Source organism: Homo sapiens, chromosome 3, assembly GCF_000001405.40.
Source record: "Homo sapiens chromosome 3, GRCh38.p14 Primary Assembly".
NCBI classification, from domain to species: domain Eukaryota; kingdom Metazoa; phylum Chordata; class Mammalia; order Primates; family Hominidae; genus Homo; species Homo sapiens.
Window position 1 is genome coordinate 49,263,442 of NC_000003.12, and position 21,292 is coordinate 49,284,733.

The 21,292-nt window shown below is 48.1% G+C and overlaps 2 protein-coding genes and 1 non-coding gene across 4 annotated transcripts in view, besides 2 other annotated features; 1 reads left to right on the forward strand and 2 right to left on the reverse strand.

The window, feature by feature from the left end:
• Positions 1–5,154: 5,154 nt before the first annotated feature.
• C3orf62 (chromosome 3 open reading frame 62) lies at positions 5,155–13,791 on the reverse strand. Its single transcript, NM_198562.3, has 3 exons — positions 12,986–13,791; positions 10,608–10,699; positions 5,155–8,004 (listed from the first exon to the last, which is right to left on the reverse strand). Exons 1-3 carry the CDS (start codon positions 13,429–13,431, stop codon positions 7,739–7,741), a joined length of 804 nt encoding a protein of 267 aa, NP_940964.1. The 5' UTR covers positions 13,432–13,791; the 3' UTR covers positions 5,155–7,738.
• Positions 10,679–10,745, forward strand: MIR4271 (microRNA 4271). The gene has a single exon (NR_036233.1). It is a non-coding gene; the product is annotated as a microRNA 4271 (primary transcript).
• Positions 13,405–13,474: an enhancer, noted in NCBI's record as "active region_19859". NCBI's record gives its function as "activates an Ori minimal core promoter by ATAC-STARR-seq in GM12878 lymphoblastoid cells {active_cell/tissue: GM12878}" and the evidence as "EXISTENCE:reporter gene assay evidence [ECO:0000049][PMID:35858748]".
• Positions 13,615–13,814: a silencer, noted in NCBI's record as "silent region_14359". NCBI's record gives its function as "represses an Ori minimal core promoter by ATAC-STARR-seq in GM12878 lymphoblastoid cells {active_cell/tissue: GM12878}" and the evidence as "EXISTENCE:reporter gene assay evidence [ECO:0000049][PMID:35858748]".
• The window catches only part of USP4 (ubiquitin specific peptidase 4), a 62,910-nt gene continuing 55,320 nt past the window's right edge, over positions 13,703–21,292 (reverse strand). For both annotated transcript variants that reach the window (NM_199443.3, NM_003363.4), the window contains 5 exons: positions 21,025–21,143; positions 20,546–20,695; positions 17,303–17,406; positions 15,373–15,461; positions 13,703–15,010 (listed from right to left, as the gene is read on the reverse strand). In NM_199443.3, the coding sequence (NP_955475.1) occupies positions 14,852–15,010; positions 15,373–15,461; positions 17,303–17,406; positions 20,546–20,695; positions 21,025–21,143 (621 nt within the window). In that variant the 3' untranslated portion in view covers positions 13,703–14,851. The remainder of the gene's footprint in view (positions 15,011–15,372; positions 15,462–17,302; positions 17,407–20,545; positions 20,696–21,024; positions 21,144–21,292) is intronic.

Genomic DNA, 21,292 nt, shown 5'->3' on the forward strand with positions numbered 1-21,292 from the left:
CCTGACCTCCAGTGATCTGCTTGGCTCAGCCTTACAAAGTACTGGGATTACAGGCGTGAGCCATTAGGCCCAGCCACACTGGGCTAATTTTTATATTTTTTGTAGGGATGGGGTTTCACCATGTTGCCCAGGCTGGTCTTGAACCCCTGGGCTCAAGTGATCGGCCTTACTCAGCCTCTCAAAGTGCTGGGATTACAGGCATGAGCCAAGCTTATGCCAGGCCTGAGGCCAAAACTCTTTGTCAAATCAGGCATTTTCCAGACAGCCTAGAACACAGAGTCCTTCCCCACTATGGCTGGGATCCACTGTCAAATAGATTTCCTGAGTAAACCTTTGTTCCCTCTAGATATTTAGTTGGAACCTAAAATATTAATATTCTCCCACACATTCCAAGGATAATGCAAATAGCCTGAGCCTCATCTTGTTTCTGGATGACAGAGCCTTTTTTGTTTAATTTTTTTTTTTTTTTTTTTTTTGAGACGGAGCCTCGCTCTGTCTCCCAGGCTGGAGTGCAGTGGCGCAATCTCAGCTCACCGCAACCTCTGCCTCCCGGGTTGAAGAAATTCTCTGCCTCAGCCTCCCGGGTTCAAGAAATTCTCTGCCTCAGCCTCCCAAGTAGCTGGGATTACAGGTGCCTGTCACCGCGCCCGGCTAGTTTTTTTTTATTTTTTAGTAGAGATGGAGTTTCACCTTCTTGGCCAGGCTGGTCTTGAACTTCTGATCTCATGATCCACCCGCCATGGCCTCCCAAAGTGCTAGGATTACAGGCATGAGCTACCGTGCCCAGCTTTTAATTTTTTTTATAAAAATTTTTTTAAAAAGGGCCAGGCACGGTGGCTCACGCCTATAATCCCAGCATTTTGGGAGGTTGAGGTAGGCGGATTGTTTGAGGTCGGGAGTTTGAGACAAGCCTGACCAACATGGAGAAACCCCGTCCCTACTAAAAATACAAAATTAGCCGGGCGTGGTGGTGCCTGCCTGTAATACCAGCTACTCGGGAGGCTGAGGCAGGAGAATCGCTTGAATCTGGGAGGCGGAGGTTGCAGTGAGCAGAGATCGCACTATTGCACTCCAGCCTGGGCAACAAGAGCAAAACTCCGTCTCAAAAAAACAAAAACAAAAATTAAATATAGTCCGGGCGTGGTCGCTCACGCCTGTAATCCCAGCACTTTGGGAGGCCGAGGCAGGTGGATCGCTTGAAGTCAGGAGTTCCAGACCAACCTGGCCAACATGGCAAAACTTCATCTCTACAAAAAATACAAAAATTAAACAAGTGTGGTGGCAGGCCCCTGTAATCTCAGCTACTTGGGAGGCTGAGGCAGGAAATCACTTCAACCCTGGAGGCGGAGGTTGCAGTGAGCCGACATCACACCACTGCACTTCAGCCTGGGTGACAGAGTGAGACCCTGCCATACACACACAAAATTTAAAAATAGAGATGGTGTCTCCCTGTTTCCCAGACTGATCTCGAACTGCTGGGCTCAAGTGATTCTCCTGCTTTGGGCTCCCAAAGTGCTGGGATTATAGGCTTGAGCCACTGCACCTGGCCCAGAGCCTTTTCAATAATCATCTATAATCAGGTGTATTGGCTTCCCAAGTCCTCCCATGGTTTGCATGACTCATTGGTCTTTGCTACCACATTAAAACATCTTGTGGCTCAATCAGAAGTACCACTCTGAGGCTGGGCGCAGTGGCCCATGCCTGTAATACCAGCACTTCGGGAGGCCAAGCAAGACTCCGTCTCAAAAAAAAAAAAAAAGTACCACTCTGGGCCGGGCACAGTGGCTCATGCCTGTAATCCCAGCACTTTGGGAGGCCAAGGCGGGCAGATCACTTGATGTCAGGAGTTCGAAACCAGGCTGGCCAACATGGTGAAACCCTATCTCTGTCGCCCAGGCTGGAGTGCAGTGGCGTGATCTCCGCTCACTGCAACCTCCACCTCCTGGGTTCATGCCATTCTCCTGCGTCAGCCTCCAGAGTAGCTGGGACTACAGGCGCCTGCCACCACGCCCAGCTAATTTTTTCGTATTTTCAATAGAGACAGGGTTTCACCGTGTTAGCCAGGATGGTCTTGATCTCCTGACCTCTTGATCTCCTGACCTCGTGATCTGCCTGCCTCGGCCTCCCAAAATGCTGCGATTACAGGCGTGAGCCACCACTCCCGGCCAAGACTCTGTCTTAAAAAAAAAAAAAAAAAAGAAAGAAAAGAAACAGCACTCTAATACCAGGTGAGCCCCTGGTCTAGCCATTTCAGGAGGGAGATTGGCCTGAGCTAGGCCCCTTTTGCAAATCTTCTTCACTGACCTTTGAACATTGACAACTCACAATTTCACCAGTTGGCAGAATGGTGTTACTTTATCACTGCATTCCTGAGTGAAAAGGTGAGGGACACAGGCCTCCAGGTTGTCTGTCTCCTTCCTTCTGGTCTGTGGATGCTGTTGGAATCATCTCTGGGATTGAAAGAGACGGTGGTGGGGTGGGCCCAGGAGAATGCCAAGGAATCAGGGCAGGTGTGCCAGGAGTTGGCTCCCCTATCCTAAGAGTGAGGGGAGCAGCAGATAGATGGGTAAGGGGAACCCTGAGTCCTAGAGATGAGAAGGTAGGTCCCAGTGCCCAACTGTGGTGGCTTGAGCCTCACAGAGGCAGAGGTGTGCTAATGTAAGTGCTCCCAGAGCTCAACTGGCAAGAGTTCACAATGTAGAACCAGATCCACGTGACTACACAGGCGTGATGCCTGTGAGTGTGGGGAACACAGGAATCAGAATGAACTGAGGGCCGGGTCATTTCCAGCCTGCAGCCAGCCCTTTTTAATTTCCCTTTTGAAAGAATTGCTGGCCAGGCACGGTGGCTCACGCCTGTAATCCTAGCACTTTGGAAAGCCGAGGCGGGTGGATCACGAGGTCAGGGGTTCGAGACCAGCCTGACCAACATGGTGAAACCCAGTCTCTACTAAAAATACAAAAATTAGCCAGGCGTGGTGGCACAGGCCTGTAATCCCAGCTACTCAGGAGGCTGAGGCAGGAGAATCCCTTGAACCTGGGAGGCGGAGGTTGCATTGAGCCGAGATTGTGCCACTGCACTCCAGCCTGGGCAATAGACCAAGACTCTGTCTCAAAAAAAAAAGAATTGCTGCTTTTCTCCCAGGCCTCAGCTGTGACTCTGTGTTCCCTGCTGGAACTTCACTCCACCATTCACTTATCTCTCTCCTTGTTCCTGCCCTTTCTTCTCAGCCTTCCCTTCCAGCTCTTAAATCTCTCTTTCTAGAAGCTTCTAAAGACCAGCTCCTCCCTTAAGTATTGTTACGAAGTTTATCATCAGTTGGCTTACAACCCTGGTTTCTACTGGCTTTGGCATGAACACTGGTGGGATGCAGCCATGGATCCTGGAAATCTCTTGTCATAGGGTTGGATGGGTCCATCTTCTCATATGCCTTGTGCTATGGCTTGAATTTGCAGTTTGCAACTAGCAAGTTCCAAAGCTATTTATTTTTGAAGCTGTCTTGTTTCTATTTTGATTCTGGTAATCCAAATTGCAGTTTGGTGTTTCCACGGAAACAATTCAGTGATTGTTTGGCTTGCCAAGATGAACTGTGGGGGAGAGAACTGAATGATGTAAAATATTTAAAGTTTCTCAGTCATGATCAAAGTCAACTATCAAGTCTCCCTGAGAAGGATTTGGTCCTAGCTCCTTAAAAACCTGAGGAAGTTTTATTAAAATTCTGGGCTTTTGTTCCCCCTCCAACTAAATCCCTGGAGAACAGCTCCCCAAACCCTGTTCTGAGCAAATGAGCGTGTATCTGCTCACTGTATAGACTCAGATGACGAAGGCGGGAAGTTCTTCTTGGGCACCTCAGGGAGCCAGAGATGCAGAGACGGGAGTAGATCGTGTCACCAGGGAAATGAGGAGGCCTATGTGCCCACTCCCTGCTAATCTGGGACTGGCATGGAGAGGCTCAGGACTCACCTGCTTGACTGTACAGCTGCATTTCTAGTGAGGAAAAGTTCCACATTCAAGGATTCCAGGATGAATTGCCTGTTTGGAAAATCTGAATTTTTAAATAAAGGCTTTGCTTAAGCAAAGACATACCTGTCTCTCTGGCCAGGGAGAGCCTGTATTCTCCCTCATTCCTCACCCCCACCCTGTGCTGGGCCCTCATTCCCGTCTCTACTCCAGGTAGGAAAAATAAATAAATTTCAAAGTCTTCTAGAGTAAGGGATAGATAGATCCCCATTTATTTATTTATTTATTTATTTATTTATTTATTTTGAGACAGAGTCTCACTCTGTCACCCAGGCTGGAGTGCAATGGCACGATCTCAGCTCACTACAATGTCTGCCTCCTGGGTTCAAGCAATTCTCCTGCCTCAGCCTCCTAAGTAGCTGGGACTACAGGCATGCGCCACAACGCTGGCTAATTTTTGTATTTTTAGTAGAGACAGGGTTTCACCATGTTGGCCAGGCTGGTCTTGAACTCCTGACCTAAAGTGATCCACCCGCCTCAGCCTCCTAAAGTGCTGGGATTACAGGAGTGAGCCACCCTGCCTGGCTAGATCCCTATTTAATACAGCCACGGCTGCAAAGCCCCACCTGGGAGGGGCCAGGCCCTGACCAGTAGTAAACCAGTGAACTAACTGAGCTCCTGAGAAACAGCTCTTTGAGACCTAGATAACCCAGCTCCTGAGGATCTAGCTCCCCCAGAAAAGGACTGCCCTCGTGTCAGGGTCCTGCCAAGCCCTCCTGGTGTGGCCCCTAGGCTCCACTCCAGAAACTGAAAGTTGGGTCTGGACAGGTACTTTGTGAAGGATGTCCATGGCTAGTTGACTGGAGATGAGGGTTTTTAAACTAACTGCTTTTGTCTTTACAGAAGTGATACATGTCCACTGCAGGTCAATTAGAAAATACAGATGACAAAAAAAAGACTATACCCTCCTATCCATCACCCCCAAAAGTTTTTTTGCACATGAGCTCATACACATTTTCACAAACTTGAGATCAGTTGCACTTGATCCAAAGTGCAATTACATGCATTTTAAGTTTGGGGATAACTTTAGATTTACAGAAAATGTACTTCATATATATCCTTCACTCAGCCTCTCCAATGTTAACATCTTACATAACTCTGACACATTTGTCAAAACTAAGAAACTGACATCAATACATTAAACACTAGTTTTTATTCAAGTTTTATCAGTTTTTCCAATAATGTTCTCTTTCTCTTCCAGGATGCACTCCAGGATTCCATGTTGCATTTAGCCATTGTGTCTTCTTGGTCTTTAGTGGTCTGTTGATAGTTTTTGAGTCTTTCCTTATTTTTCATGACCTCAACAGTCTTTTTTTTTCTTTTTGAGGTGGAGTCTTGCTTGTTGCCCAGGCTGGAGTGCAGTGATGCGATCTTGGCTCACTGCAACCTCCACCTCCTGGGTTCAAGCAATTCTCCTGCCTCAGCCTCCTGTGTAGCTATGACTAAAGGCACATGCCATGATGCCTGGCTAATTTTTGTATTTTTAGCAGAGATGGGGTTTCACCATGTTTGCCAGGCTGGTCTCGAACTTCTGACCTCAAGTGATCTGCCCGCCTCAGCCTCCCAAAGTGTCGGGGATTATAGGCATGAGCCACTGCACCCGGCCATCTCAACAGTCTTGAGTTCTGGCCAGGTATCTTGTAGAATGTACCCCACGTCTGGATTTGTCTAACATTTGTCTCAAGATCATACACTGGGAATTTGGGTTTTTGGTAGGAATACCAGGGAAGTGATGCACCCCTCTCATGACATATACATGACATCACTTGGTTAGGTGTCTGCCAGGCTTCCCCACTATAAGTTTGTGACTTTTCCCTTTCCCTACTTTAGTCGTGGGAAGTATCATTAAGTCTAGTTCACCTTCAAAGGGTGGTAATGAGGTGGGAATATGGGGGTAAGGACAGGAATTAAGCTCCACCTCGTCTATAGAAGAGTGTCCACATCCACATGTATTATTTGGAAGGCACTGTTTTGAGACCTGTTTTTCTGAGTATCAAGTAGCCTGACATCTCTCCATCCAGACAGGCTATTCTTCACCTGAGCAGGGGCAGTTGAGCATACTGTGAGCACTTTTCATTTGCTTCCATTCTTCTTGCTCAGGGAGAAGAAATTGGCCTCTGACTCCACAGGCTGTGAATGCTTTGTGCTACCTCCTGCAGGGTCTGAGTGGTAGGTGGCCTGGAAGGAGCCTGTAGTTAGCCTTAACCTCAACTCCTGCCCCAGGCAGGGCAGTGGCAGTGGCCACAACTGGTTGGGAACCAGGGCACGCCCACTGGGGAGGCACATGCAATCAAGTGGCCAGGGTCTAACCATGCCATAGTTCTTGGGGCACCAGCAGGTGCCAGGCCAACCTCTGCTAAGGAGTGGGTGTGTAGCCTCCACATTTGAGCCCAGAGGAATCACTAGACCTGTGGTAAGGGATGTTGCTGGCTATGCAGCCTGCCCTATGCCAGAGTCACTGGCCTAAAAGACAGTCTGTTAGACAATCACTCAGCTGTTAGTTAGGCCTTTCTCCCCAACTCTTTGGTTTGTTCGGGCTTTAGCACTTATAAACAGCCCTGGCTGGTCCAAAGGTAGTGAGTTATCTCAATCGACTACTCACAGTTTCAGATCTAACTCCTTGTTCTACTCCTTCCCCTCTTCTTATACTACCCTCAGTCTTTAAAAACAATCAGGTCCAAAGGTATTGAGTTATCTCAATTGACTACTCACAGTTACAGATCTAACTCCTTGTTCCACTCCTTCCCCACTTCTTATACTATACTTCACTTGGTCTTTAAAAACAATCAAAACAAAAAACAGCCTTTTGCCAGCTCTGCCTCACCCCCATATTCCTTCCTCTTATTAGCTCAGGAGGTGGGCACTTCCCTGAGATTCAGTTTCCTTTCTTCCCTTTTTTTTTCTTTTTTTTTTTGAGACAGGGTCTCACTCTGTCACTCATGCTGGAGTGCAGTGGCGTGATCTCAGCTCACTGCAATCTCTGCCTCCTGGCCTCAAGTGATCCTTTCGCCTCAGTCCCTACCCAAGTAGCTGGAACTACAGGCACGAACCACCATGACCAGCTAAATTATTATTTTTTTGAGACAGAGTCTTGCTCTGTCACTCAGGATGGAGGGGAGCGGTGCCATCTCGGCTCATTGCAACCTCCGCCTCCAGGTTCAAGCAATTCTCCTACCTCAGCCTCCAAAGTAGCTGGGACTACAGGTGCACACCACCACTCCTGGCTAATTTTTGTATTTTTAGTGGAGATGGGGTTTCGCCATGTTGGCCAGGCTGGTCTCAAACTCCTAACCTCAAGTGATCCACTCGCCTTGGCCTCCCAAAGTGCTGGGATTACAGACGTGAGCCACTGTGCCTGGCCACTCCTGTACTTTTTTAGGGGCCCGTGGAAAAGAACACTAAGAGACACAGCAGAGGCCCATGACCCACACCTACCATGGGTACTGGGTATATTGAACATCAATCAAAAAAACACATTCAAGATGTCAAGGAAAGTTAAAAAAAAAAATCAGTAATAGGAAACATTTCAAAGCAATGGAATTCAAAAAACTGGTCTCACAGCTTAAAAAGGGACACAACTGGGATTTAAAAAGGGTCTGGTAATTCAGGTTCTGCCAACCTTTTGAGAAATGTGGCCCCTGACGGCCATTGTAGCTGCTTCTGCTCAGGCTCAAGGGCAGCCTCCTGCTGTAAGGAATCAAAGCTTAGATAACTGTCCTTACTCAATTTGGTATTTAAAAGACGTCATCACATTGTAGTCCTCTTCCAAGTCCAGAACAGTCTCAACAATATTATGATCATCAAAAGCCTGTTTGAGGCTGCCAGGGTCAGCATCTGTGGCCTTCTGAGGGCTCTTGTCCATGAGCAGGGCCCAGGCTTCCTCTTTGAAGGGTGAATCTTGGCAATGACCACACATGTGGTTCAATTCGTTTTCAAATTCTATTTTTCCAGCCAATTCTTCAATAGTTCGGATGCTTGTATGGTCTTAAAAATAAGAACATTCAGCTTTACAATTCCAGTGGAAGGTTTCTGAAGACATTTCAGGTGCAAGTTAAAAACCATGAATGGGTTGTCATTTATCAGGGATTGTGTAAAAGCAGGCATTCCTGCCCCAGGACAGGCAGGCTGCCAGACTGCCAAATTAAGGTGGGTTTGGTACCTTCCTTTCAGGCCCAAGCATTTAGTGAGTTCCAACTATATGCCAGTCCCCAAGAAAGGTATAAGTGGGAGGGTATAGAAATGTACATGGTTGTCCTGGCTCTCAGGGATGACAAGACACAATGTGAAAAAAAAACAAGGAAACAAGGTCTTTAGGGTAATAAACTGCTGCCCAGCCAGGAGCGGTGGTGTGTAACCTGCAATCCCAGCAACTTGAGAGGCTGAGGTAGAATAATAACTTGCGCCCAGGAGTTTGAGACCAGCCTGGGCAACAGAGTGAGGCCCTGTCTCAAAAAAAAAAAAAACAAAAAAAAAAAACAAAAAAACCTCCCTGATGTTGGTGAAAGCCAAGGAAGATGGTGGGTAGAGGCAGTAATGACTTCAGTTTACCTCCTGGGGCTACTGGAGGAGACTCAGGCCACTGAAGTCACAGGCTGGCAGGGATTTTACTTTGTGGCCCAGGGGGTGTACCCTACCCTCACCAGGCCTCCCTTTCCTCCCTCATAACCTGGAGATCCTTCAGAAACAACAGCTTCAGGCAGCACCCACGGTTATACATCCCTTTACTAGGAGCTGTAGTATGAGTTTTTTAAAAACAGGGCACATTGGCATGGTTTGCCTGTAAACCCAGCACTTTGGGAGGCTGAGGCAGGAGGATCACTTGAGACCAGGAGTTCAAGACCAGCCTGGGTAACAAAGCAAGACCTTGTCTCTATTTATAAAAAATACTACTACTAATAATAAAAAGACAAAATAAAAAATAGAGCACATGTAGTTCACATACAGGACATTCAGATTTGTATGTAGAAAAAAAGTCTGACAGGATGTATGCTATACTATATCTATATTAACAGTGGTTATCTCTGGGTGGTAGAATTATAGGAAAGCTTTTGACTTCTAATTTTTCTCCTAATCTTTTTTTTTTTTTTTTTTTTTTTTTTTTGAGACAGAGTCTCATTCTGTCACCCAGGCTGGAGGGCAGTGGTGCGATCTCGGCTCACTGCAACCTCTGCCCTCTGCCTCCTGGGTTGAAACAATTCTCATGCCTCAGCCATCCAAGTGGCTGGGATTACAGGTGTGCACCACCACGCCTGGCTAATTTTTTGTGTTTTTAGTAGAGAAGGGGTTTTGCCATGTTGCCCAGGCTGATCTCGAACTCCTGACCTCAAGTGATCTGCCCGCCTCAGCCTCCCAAAGTGCTAGGACTAAAGGTGTGAGCCACTGTGCCCAGCCCTTTTCTCCTAATCTTTAATTACTGACCCCAGCTAAATTACTCTCTCCTTTTTGCCTATGTCCTGTTTCCTAAAAATTTAAGCTCAATCACCATGTCCTAGTGGCCACCATCCCTTGCCTTCAGGGACTCAGTGCATCTAAACATTGATGACATGACCTGATTGATGTATCTATCACCTCACAAGATAATCAGTTGTATGAGGGAAGGGACAGGTTTTGTTAACATTCAGTTCCCTAATCAATGCAGAGTCTGAGCAAAACATCTACCAAATAAAAAGATAAGAGTGTTTTGGCCGGGAGTGGTGGCTCTTGCCTGATCCCAGCACTGGGAGGCCACAGTAAGTGGATTACTTGAGACTAGGAGTTCGAGACCAGCCTGGACAACACAGCAAAACCCTAATACAAATATTAGCCAATCATGGTGGCGTGCACCTGTAGTACTAGTGTAGTACTATGGCTACTTGGGAGGCTGAGCTGGGAGGATCACCTGAGCCCAGGGAGGTTGAGGCTGCAGTGAACTGTGATCGTGCCACTGCACTCCAGCCTGGGTAATATGATGAGACTCTGTCTCTCCCCCCAAAAAGTGGTGGTGGTGTTTTTTCTTTTGAGATGAGGTCTCGCACAGTTGCCCAGGCTGCAGTACAGTGGTATGATCATAGCTTGAACTCCTGGGCTCAAGTGATCCTTCCACCTCAGCCTCCCTAGTAGCTGGGATTATGGGCACACACCACTGTGCCCAGCTAATTAAAAAAAATTTTAAGAGACAGATCTCGCTATGTATGGTACCCAAGCTAGAAGAGAGTGTTTTTTGTTTTTTTTTGAGATGGGAGTCTCACTCTGTCCCCCAGGCTGGAGTGCAGTGGCAAGATCTCAGCTCACTGCAACCTCTGCCTCCCGGGTTCAAGCAATTCTCCTGCCTCGGCCTCCCGAGTAGCTGGGATTACCGGCGTGCACCACCACGCCTGGCTAATTTTTGTATTTTTAGTAGAGACGGGGTTTCACCATATTGGTTAGACTGGTCTTGAACTCCTGACCTCATGATTCGATCTCCTCGGCCTTCCAAAGTGCTGGGATTACAGGCATGAACCACCGTGCCTGGCCGAGAGCATTTCTTATATCTGAGATATTTGCTGACTCAGACCCATGTGAAGGACCTATCTTCCCAAGGACAGGATGGACTTGCCCACTGTACTCACCAATCATATCAAGCAGATCCTTTGTGACCTCTTGGCTAGAATTGTTGAGTGGCATGTTTGAGTCAGCCTTCAAATCTCTCTCCATATCTTTCCTGCAGCCCCCAGGTGGGGGGGAAGAAAAGGTGGGGAATTAGATTCTCTTTCAAGAAAATATTGAAGGGAAACTCAGTTTTAGATAATCTCAAAGACAAAAACTTACTGGTGACCTTGTCATTTATGCTTTGATTAAAGGACAATTGGAAACTGCTACATCAGTGGAGAAATTGACTAACAGCTTTACCATAATGACTCACGAGCATCGCAGACTGTATTAAATTTTTTTCTTTTTTAGAGACAGGGTTTAGCCATGTTGCCCAGGCTGGTCTCGAACTCCTGGGCTCAGGCGATCCACTCGCCTCAGCCTCCCAAAGTGCTGGGAATACGGGCATGAGCCACCTCACCCAGCCTGCATTTGTTTACTTATTTATTTATTTTTATTTTTTATTTATTTTTTTGAGATGAAGTCTCGCTTTGTCCCCCAGGCTGGAGTGCAATGGCGCAATCACGGCTCACTGCAACCTCTGCCTCCCAGGTTCAAGTGATTCTCCTGCCTCAGCCTCCTGAGTAGCTGGGATTACAGGCGCCTGCCACCACGCCCAGCTAATTTTTGTATTTTTAGTAGAGATGGGGGTTTCACCATGTTGGCCAGGCTGGTCTCGAACTCCTGACCTCAGGTGATCTGCCCGCCTCAGTCTTCCAAAGTGCTGGGATTACAGGAGTGAACCACCGCGCCTGGCCTGTTTGTTTTAAAGACAGAGTCTTGCTCTTGTCGCCCAGGCTGGTGTGCAAGGGCGCAATTTCGGCTCATCGCAACCTCCTTCTCCTGGGTTCAAGCGATTCTCCTGTCTCAGCCTCTGGAGCAGCTGGGATTACAGGCGGCCGCAACGGCACCCAGCTAATTTTTCTATTTTTAGTAGAGACGGGGTTTCACCATGTTGGCCAGGCTGGTCTCAAACTCCTGACCTCAGGTGATTCATCCGCCTCAGCCTCTCAAAGTGCTGGGATTCAGGCGTGAGCCACTGTGCCCAGCATTTTTTTTTTTTTAAGATGGAGTCTTGCTCTGTTGCCCAGGCTGGAGTGCCATGGCAAGATCTCAGCTCACTGCAACCTCTGCCTCCAGGATTCAAGCAATTCTCCTGCCTCGGCCTCCCAAGTAGCTGGGATCATAGGCGCGCGCCACCACGCTCGGCTTATGTTTGTATTTTTAGTGGAGACGGGGTTTCACCAGACCTCAAGCGATCCACCCACCTCAGCCTCCCAAAGTGCTGAGATTACAGGCGTGCCACCACACCCGGCAAGGCCTGCACTGCTTATGAGTACCAATATAAATATTTGTGGAGTTGAAAGGAAAAAAATTCTTGTGGAGTTGAACCAATTAAATGGCCTCTTTATCCCCTTCCTATGAAGCAGCCAAGATGGCAGAACTTTGAAGTTTTTTTTTTTTTTTTTTTTTTTTTTTTTGATACGGAGTCTCGCTCTGTCGCCCAGGCTGGAGTGCAGTGGCGTGATCTCGGCTCACTGCAAGCTCCGCCTCCCGGGTTCATGCCATTCTCCTGCCTCAGCCTCCCGAGTAGCTGGGACTACAGGCGCCCGCCACCACGCCCGGCTAATTTTTTGTATTTTTAGTAGAGACAGAGTTTCACCGTGTTAGCCAGGATGGTCTCGATCTCCTGACCTCGTGATCTGCCCGCCTCGGCCTCCCAAAGTGCTGGGATTACAAGTGTGAGCCACCGCGCCCGGCCTGAAGTTTCATCTCATACATTCATCCCTTCTCCAAGTCAAGGTGCCTGGGACCAGGCAATTTCAAGTTACTCGGGAGAAGAAAAAGTCTAGAAGAGACCTGGTGATGGTCCAAAAAGATCTGGGGTAAGAGCGGGGAGCAGAGGCAAAGATGAAGCCAGGAAGTAGGGCCCAGCCTTCAATTAAGCCTCTCCCTAATGTGGGCAAAGGAGGGTATCAAAGGCCCCAGTGTCCAGATTCAAACACAGGAGTTAAGATGGAATTAAGACTTTTGTTTCTGCAACTTAAAAAATAAGGTTATTTTTAAAACCCGGTTATTTTACATCCACTACCCCTTTGGGTACTGCAAAGTGGTTTCCATGACTGGTTTTTGACATCAACGATTGACAACTAGCCCCTCAACTGGAACATATACACAAAATATAACTGTTTCCTAGGCCAGATTCTGAAGAATGTCTGTCAACTCCCCAAATGCAGTCACAGAGCTGCCAAGAGGAGGCAAGAGCACTGTCATGAACTAAATCTAGGATCTTCAACAACTTTTTCAGAAACAAGAATCCCCTTAATTGTAGCTGTTAAACCATCAAAATTAGAATCACCTTAAATTTTCTTTTCTCCAGTTTTCCCCCTCTCCTGCAGTTCTCCAAGACTCTCTTTCAGGTGCCAAAATGGAGGAATGCATCAATACATTTTCCTTGCTGGTTAGAGGTTTTCTCTCGGGGCACAGAGCATGTGGTTTTGCATTTACCGGGGCATGGTTTGTTGCAAAGGCAGGGTTCTCATTCTCAGGAGCACATGGGACAGCAGCAAAAGGAGCAGCAGAAGAGCAGGCTGCCAGAGGATGTCTTCTGCAGAGGAGCCTGTGCACGGGCAGCGAGAAGGAGAGCGGCGCGGCGCTCAGTTCCAGCCTCTGCTGGCCTGTGCACTCCTGGGAATAACTAACTCCTTCAAAGGCCCGGTCAATGGCTGCAGTCAGTTCCTTTCTGCATCTTCTTAGTTTTTCAGACATTTCTCCTAAAAGCGACCATGTCTTTATGTAATGCATTGGAAATGCACAGGACAACACAATAATGTTACAAATGAGGCTGCAAACTACCCCTGAATGGCCACGATTTCCTGGAGCTTGGCCCTGGCTATAGCAGGACCCACAACCCTCGGGCTTTCCTCCTGGAGTAGGCGGTTCTCGGCTCTCGCGGAGGAACCCGCCATCTGCCAGAAGCCCCAAAGACGCCCCGCCCCACTTCCCACAGCTTCCTGGCCCGCCCCGCCGCTGCCTCCCGCCCCACCGCGGCTCCCAGGCCGCTGGCCCTACCGGCACCCCCCCTTTGGCGAGTCGGCAGCCACGTCCTTGTCCTCACCCGCAGCGCAGTGACGCCGACCCATCCAACGGTCATCGCATGCGCGTGCCCCGCGCAGGCCCCAAACCCCCACGGATTAGGTTGAAGGTCAGACAAAAAATCCCGGACCCATACGTCCGGTTCCTTAAGGCCTTGCCCACACGCAGCGGCTGGCCCCGCGGTGGGAGTGGGGACGGGGCTTTCGAATGGGGGCCCCGGGAAGAGTCTTGGCAGGGATGAGGAAAGAACCCGTTCTAGAAAGCATCTGGGTAACACCAAAATGTATTACTACCCTAAATCGCCATGAACTGGAGCCCTTTCCCGGCTAACTCCCACAAAGATTTCTGTTCTCAAGCCAACATGGAAACAACTAGACGGGACACAGCACCGGGCAGTTTTATGTACTGACTTCCTTTAAGCGTTATCTAATAAAAAGTGTGTTATCTAATAAAAGTTCCACACAGTATTTAACCGTCTTAATTCATCTAGGGTAGCAGGGGATATAACAGAACTGCTGGGTTCCACAGGAGGTTGAGGGGCCAGGATCCCCAACACTAGATATCTTCCTTAGCGGGGAGAAAGCTGGAAATTACAAGATGACTCAACGGAGAAATGGGCTTCAGTGGGTAACTTTCAGAAAATTATAAACCCATATCAGTGCACATAGCGAGGGAAAGGGGAGTTTACTTGAGGTTTGGGTTACTGTGAGCAGACTACTTGGGGTGACTAGTATTGGCATCAGAACCAGAAATCCAGGCGCTCAGGGCAGCCCTGCAGGTGGGGTGGGTCTCCAGGCTGCTCCATACTCAGCGCCTGTGTTCCTCTCCATTCTTCGGGATCCATCAGACATACTCCATTGAGTACCCCCATCCCACCCCCTTTTCAGCTTCACAGGTTTCACAGAAATTTCTCACCACCTGTTTAAAAATAAAAATAATTCAGCCTCTTGACATAGCTTCTTCTAGGTAAACGGTCTTCTTTTTTTTTTTTTGTTTCCTTCTGCTCATAAAAGAAGGGTATTTCCTTGTCTGGTTTTTAGACAGAACACTAGCAGTCTGCAGAGTGTCAAAGATGTTCTCCTGGGGGATTACACTGGCGCTACAGGGTGGCAGGATCGTGGAGTCAGCATTAGTTGGTGTCCATGCTGCAAGCCTCATCATCCCCAAAGCCCTGCTGAGAGCTGCTTGGTCGTGTCCCTCCATCAGAGGAACCAGAACTGCTAAGTGAAGGTGTCTTATAAAATTCATCATCTCGACGTTGGTAAAATAGCACATAAGCTGCTTTAGTCTGAAATACAAGAGGGGGAAAGACCATTCAGTGCTTGGAAAAATCACCCATTTTCCCCAGCTTTTCTCTAGCTGTCCAAAACCCTCAAGGATCTGCCATATCCACACAGAGGAGACCCTTCCACCTGAGGATGGCTGCCCCTGCCAGGCAGCAGGAAATGGAAGGAGCCTTGTGCAGAGAACTCTGAGGAGAGCTGAGCTTCTCATTTATGAAGGTCCCTGAAGGAATGCCAGCCAGCTCTGTCACACCTAGCTCCCACTATCACATCAGGATGATGAAATAACCAACTAGCCTGATAGAGGCTCTTCCCAGCTTTAATCCATAACGACATGAGGAAGAACCACATATCATGGCCTACTCACCACTATCTGATCCTCAGAGGCCAGGGACACGTTGCTATCATCAAAGTAATACCATTTACCATTCAGTTTGTTCTTCGCATATGCAGTGTCTGCCAAGTCAACAAAGAAAATACTCTAGCGGTCTCCAGAGAATTAATCTGGCTAGCTTATTAGGCTTGCACTAAATAAACACAAAAATCCCCAAAACAAAACCCCTGAAATTAAAAAAGTTTACAGTGTGTGTCTTAACAACCAAAAAACAACTCACCTTCTTTTCTAATCTGTTCCTTCTCAAAAAGGATCAAAAGGCTAAAAATGGAGCTGTCAGGGACCAAGATTTTAAACTATAATTTTGGGAAACTAATAGAAAAAACAGAGCTATTCAGTGCCAATCTTCAGGATGGCTATGTGCAATAATCCAAAACCAGGGAACCCATAAAAGGAGCTGAAACTTCTAAGATTTAAGCAAAACAATAGCTCTCACAAGGACATGCCAAGTCAGTCTCCCCCATTGCATCTAGGCAGGTGGCTACTAACATCAACAGAATGCTTAGTGCCTCGGGAGCCTACAGAATAATCCCAGTTAGAGGAACATTGGGTGTTTGGGTTTGCAGAGCTGGGATGTGAACAACATACCTTAGTCTCCATATCCAAAAAAAAAAAAATTTATCTTTCTCTAAAACTAGGAGTCCAGAGTCTGTGGTTAGGTAACAGTTTCCCACAATGATTCAAGCATTTCCCAGAGGCAATGCTTCTTGTCTTGACTTTACACTATTCCCAAGCAGGATGTGTTTATTACAGCAATCCCAGCCCAGTTCCTGCTCCACCCAGACTCTCAGAAACTACAGAACCCAATGGAGATCTGATATCCAGTGTCAACTTACTGTGTGGTTTTAGGTAAGGTGTTTAACACTTCAGCCTCAGTTTCCTCACTATAGCATTGACTGCACAAAGTGGTGGTGAGGATCATGGGAAAGGGCAACAGAGAAGGTGCCCAAGGCCAGTTCACACAGTCTGTGCTTGACACAATAGCAGCAACGGTGGCTTTCAATTTTGAAGTTCCAACTGTAGGCCCAATGTGGACCCTCACACAACCAGCCTAACCTCATGGATGAGAAAACTGAGGATGAGAAACTTGCCCAAATGGTATGTTTGTGTGCAAAAATTAGCAAATAAAAATGAACACAGGCAGGGCACGGTGACTCACACCTGTGATCCCAACACTTTGGGAGGCCAAGGCAGGGTGGTTCGCTTGAGCCCAGGAGTTCAAGACCAGCCTGGGCAACATGCCAAAACCCTGTCTCTACTAAAAATACAAAAATTAGCCAGGTGTGGTGGCGCACACCTGTAATCCCAGCTACTCGGCAGGCTGAGGCACGAGAATCGCTTGAACCCGGGAGGTGGAGGTTGCAAGTGAGCCGAGACTGCGCCACTGCTTTCCAGCCTGGGTGACAGAGTGAGAATCTGTCTCAAAAAAAGAGCAAACCAGCCAGGCACAGTGCCTCACACCTGTAATCCCAGCACTTTGGGAGGCCGAGGCGGGCGGATCACGAGGTCAGGAGATCGAGACCATCCTGGCTAACATGGTGAAACCCCGTCTCTACTAAAAATACAAAAAATTAGCCAGGCGTGGTGGCGGGCGCCTGTAGTCCCAGCTACTCAGGAGGCTGAGGCAGGAGAATGGCGTGAACCTGGGAGGCAGAGCTTGCAGTGAGTGAGATTGCGCCACTGTGTTCTAGCCTGGGTGACATAACGAGACTCCGTCTCAAAAAAAAAAAAAAAAAAAGAATTAAAAAAAAACAGAGAGGGGAATCAGTATGAAGAAAGCGTGCAGCATGAAGCCTGTGAAACTGCATAAGCAAAGCATTTAGGGCAATGCCTGGTCCACTGGTGAGAGATGATGGCCGAGCACATTTCAACATCTCAGAAGGAAGCAGATGTCAATACTTACAGTGGCCAACCCCCATGGCTCCATAATGATTGGACACGGCAATGAGGTCGTACACATAAGGCCTTGCTGACAGGTTACAGACAAACTCGGACATGTTCAGCCCTCTGAGCACAAAACACAAAAATAGTTATTGAATATGTTAAACCCAAACAAAGTAGTTAAGAGTAACCCAGCAACCTCTGTTATGCAACAGGGCAGAACACAGGGAGGCACTCAAACTATTCGAGAGAGACCAAGATGGAAGGGACTCTAGGATCCATGTTCTGACCACTGACATATTCAGGCTAGAAAATGGGGCTGGGTGTGGTGGCTCATGCCTGTAATCCCAGCACTTTGGGGGGCCAAGGCAGGTGGATCACCTGAGATCAGGAGTTCGAGACGAGCCCGACCAACATGGTGAAATCCCGTCTCTGCTAAAAATACAAAAATTAGGCCGCGCACGGTGGCTCACACCTGTAATCCCAGCACTTTCGGAGGCCAAGGCAGGCGGATCACGAGATCAGAAGATTGAGACCATCCTGGCTAACACGGTGAAACCCTGTCTCTACTAAAAAATACAAAAATTAGCTGGGCGTGGTGGTGGGCGCCTGTAGTCCCAGCTACTCGGGAGGCTGAGGCAGGAGAATGGCGTGAACCCGGGAGGTGGAGCTTGCAGTGAGCCAAGATCGCACTACTGCAGTCCAGCCTGGGCAACAGAGCGAGACTCCGTCTCAAAAAAGAAAAAAAGTATGTGTATATATATATATATACACACACACACACACACACACACACACACACACACACACATATATACATTTATATATACACACACACACAAATTAGCCGGGCATGGTGGCACACACCTGTAATCCTAGCTACTTGGGAGGCTGAGGTAGGAGAATCGATTGATCCTGGGAGGCAGAGTTTGCAGTGAGCCGAGATCGTGCCATTGCACTTCAGCCTGGGCAACAAGAGCGTAACTCCGTCTCAAAAAAAAAAAAAAAAGGCCGGGCACAGTGGCTCATGCCTGTAATCCCAGCACTTTGGGAGGCCAAGGTGGGTGGATCATGAGGTCAGGAGTTTGAGACCATCCTGGCCAACATGGTAAAACCCCGTCTCTACTAAAAATACAAAAATTAGCTGGGTATGGTGGCAGGCGCCTGTAGTCCCAGCTACTCAGGAGGCTGAGGCAGGAGAATTGCTTGAACCCAGGAGGCAGAGGTTGTAGTGAGCCGAGATCGCACCACTGCACTCTGGCCTGGCGACAGAGTGAGACACGGTCTCAAAAAAAAACAAAAACAAAACAAAAAAAACAACAACAACAACAAAAGAAAATGGGAGAACCTTTCTGGGTAACTCCAGCACCAGACAAAATGGTGATGAGGGTCTAGAGATACACACAGAGGGCTTCAGCAAGTATGCAGAAATGGCTGTTCTTAACAGAATTACAGTTGGTGCCATAATAATTTAAACTCAACCAAAACAGGCCCCAGAAAGCTTTCTTCCTCCAATATTTTATTTAAAAATTTTCAAACACACAGAAAAGATAAAGAATTTTTTTTTTTTTGAGACGGAGTCTCGCTGTGTCGTCCGGGCTGGAGTGCAGTGGCGCGATCTTGACTCACTGCAACCTCTGCCTCTTGGGTTCAAGTGATTCTCCTGCCTCAGCCTCCCAAGTAGCAGGGATTACAGGCATGCGCCACCATGCCTAGCTAATTTTGTTTTGTACTTTTAGTAGAGATGGGGTTTCACCATGTTGGTCAGGCTGGTCTCAAACTCCTGACCTCGTAATTTGCCCACCTCAGCCTCCCAAAGTGCTGGGATTACAGGTGTGAGCCACTGCGCCCAGCCAAGATAAAGAATTTTTACAACAAATACTTATTATCCATCACCTGGCGTCTCCTGCTGACATGCTATACTTCATGTATCTATTCTTTCCCCCAGAAAGCATTTTAAAATCTACATTTTGTGGGCAACTCCCTTTTTTTTTTCTTTTTTTGGAAACAGGGGCTTGCTCTGTTGCTGAGGCTGGAGTGCAGTGGCACAATCTTGGCTCACTGCAACCTCCGCCTAGTGGGTTCAAGCAATTCTCCTGCCTCAGCCTCCCTAGTAGCTGGGATTACAGGCGTGCACCACCACATCCAGCTAATTTTTGTAGTTTTACTGGAGACAGGATTTCACCATGTTGGCCAGGCTACTCTCCGGCTCCTGATCTCAAGTGATCCACCCACCTTGGCCTCCCACAGTGCTGGGATTACAGGTGTGAGCCACTGTGCCGGCCTCTTTTTTTTTTTTTTTTTTTTTTTTTTGAGATAGAGTCTCGCTCTGTCACCAGGCTGGAGTGCAGTGGTGCAATCTTGGCTCACTGCAACTTTTGCCTCCTAGGTTCAGGCGATTTTCCTGCCTCAGCCTCCTGAGTAGCTGGGACCACAGGTGTGCGCCACCACATCCAGCTAACTTTTGCATTTTTAGTAGAGATGGGGTTTCACCATGTTGGCCAGGATGGTCTCGATCTCCAGACCTTGTGATCTGCCCACCTTGGCCTCCCAAAGTGCTGGGATTACAAGCATGAGCCACCGTGCCCAGCCTATTTTTTTAAATATATTTTTTATTTTTTGTAGAGAGGAAGTCTCTCTATGTTGTCCAGGCTGGTTTTGAACTCCTAGGCTCAAGTGATCCTCCCACCTTGGCCTCCCAAATTGATGATATGTGAGCCACTGTGCCCAGCCAGGGAACATCTATCTGTTAACTTACTTTCCTGTTCTTAGTTACAGTCTGTACTGTGGGGCTTGAGAGGATATGAGTAGACAGCCAGTCCCAATCCCTACCCCAGGGACAGGATCATGGCAGGTGTGCAGCCCACCTGCAGCCCCCAATAATAACCCAACTCTACCTGACAGGCTATTCTTGGTTGCCTTGTCCCCTGTTGTGCTGCCTCTGCTAAGGTGAGGCTACCTGTGACAGATGATGGACAGGAAGGCCAGTTAGGTGGCCTAAGTGACTCGAGAGGGAAACTAGCAGTGGCAGGGGTGACTGGCAGCAGCCTGTGTCTGGGCAAATGCTTCCACTGGAGAGTCTCTTCCCCAAAGATGGGAGGATAGGGACAGAAGGGGTAACTACAGCTAAACTCTGACCTCCTAGACCCCGGCAACACACATCCTTACTCAGAAAAGTTTTTGGTGGCAAACCACTCAGCCAATCAGTGCCAAGATTTTCTGCCTGTTTTTAAATGTTCCTAACACTGTAGTCACCATGACCCACCTGATTGGGAATTCTACGACTGTGTCGAGCTTATCCCTCCAGTATCTGTTGTAGGAGAAACGTTTGAGGTGGACCACCAGGATCTTGGGCAAGGACCATAGGTCAAACTTTTTTGTGGCCTGTTGATGCTTCTTACAGTTGGGACAGTACCTAAAAAGAGAAACCTCCACTTAGCAGGGCAAGCCGGCAGCCAGTGCCACCTGGGCACTCATGCATGGAGGCACAGCTGCAGTCCCCTGATAGCTGCCATCCTCTCGGTCAGCACTCAACACTACTGCTTCTGGCCAGGGACCTGTCTTCCAAAATGGGGTGACGGCTTTCCTTGGAAACCTCAACTCACAGAGGATTATGTTGTAGGGTTAGCTATATAAAGAAGTGACACATCCAAATACAAAGGGGTTTATGTGCACAGATGGCCCTAGCAGATCTGAGTCCTGGGGTGCATGGGGCCTCTGCCCAGACAGTGAGGAGCTGCGTACCAGGGGTCATGCTCCCCAAGGGTCTCCATGGTGGTGAAGAGCTCGATGCAGTCTCTCAGGGCCACTGTGGTCTTCTTCTTCTTCTGAGGCTGCAACATGCTCACATGCTTCTCGTAGGCCTATGGGAATCAAAGCACTCAGTTCTGCTGGAGAAAGAGATCTTACTGCATTAAGACATGAAGGCCTACAGAGGCTCTCCCACCTGGAATGTAGTACACTTTCTAGAGCCTCTGAATATAAAATGACAAAATCTTGAAGTGCTTTTCCT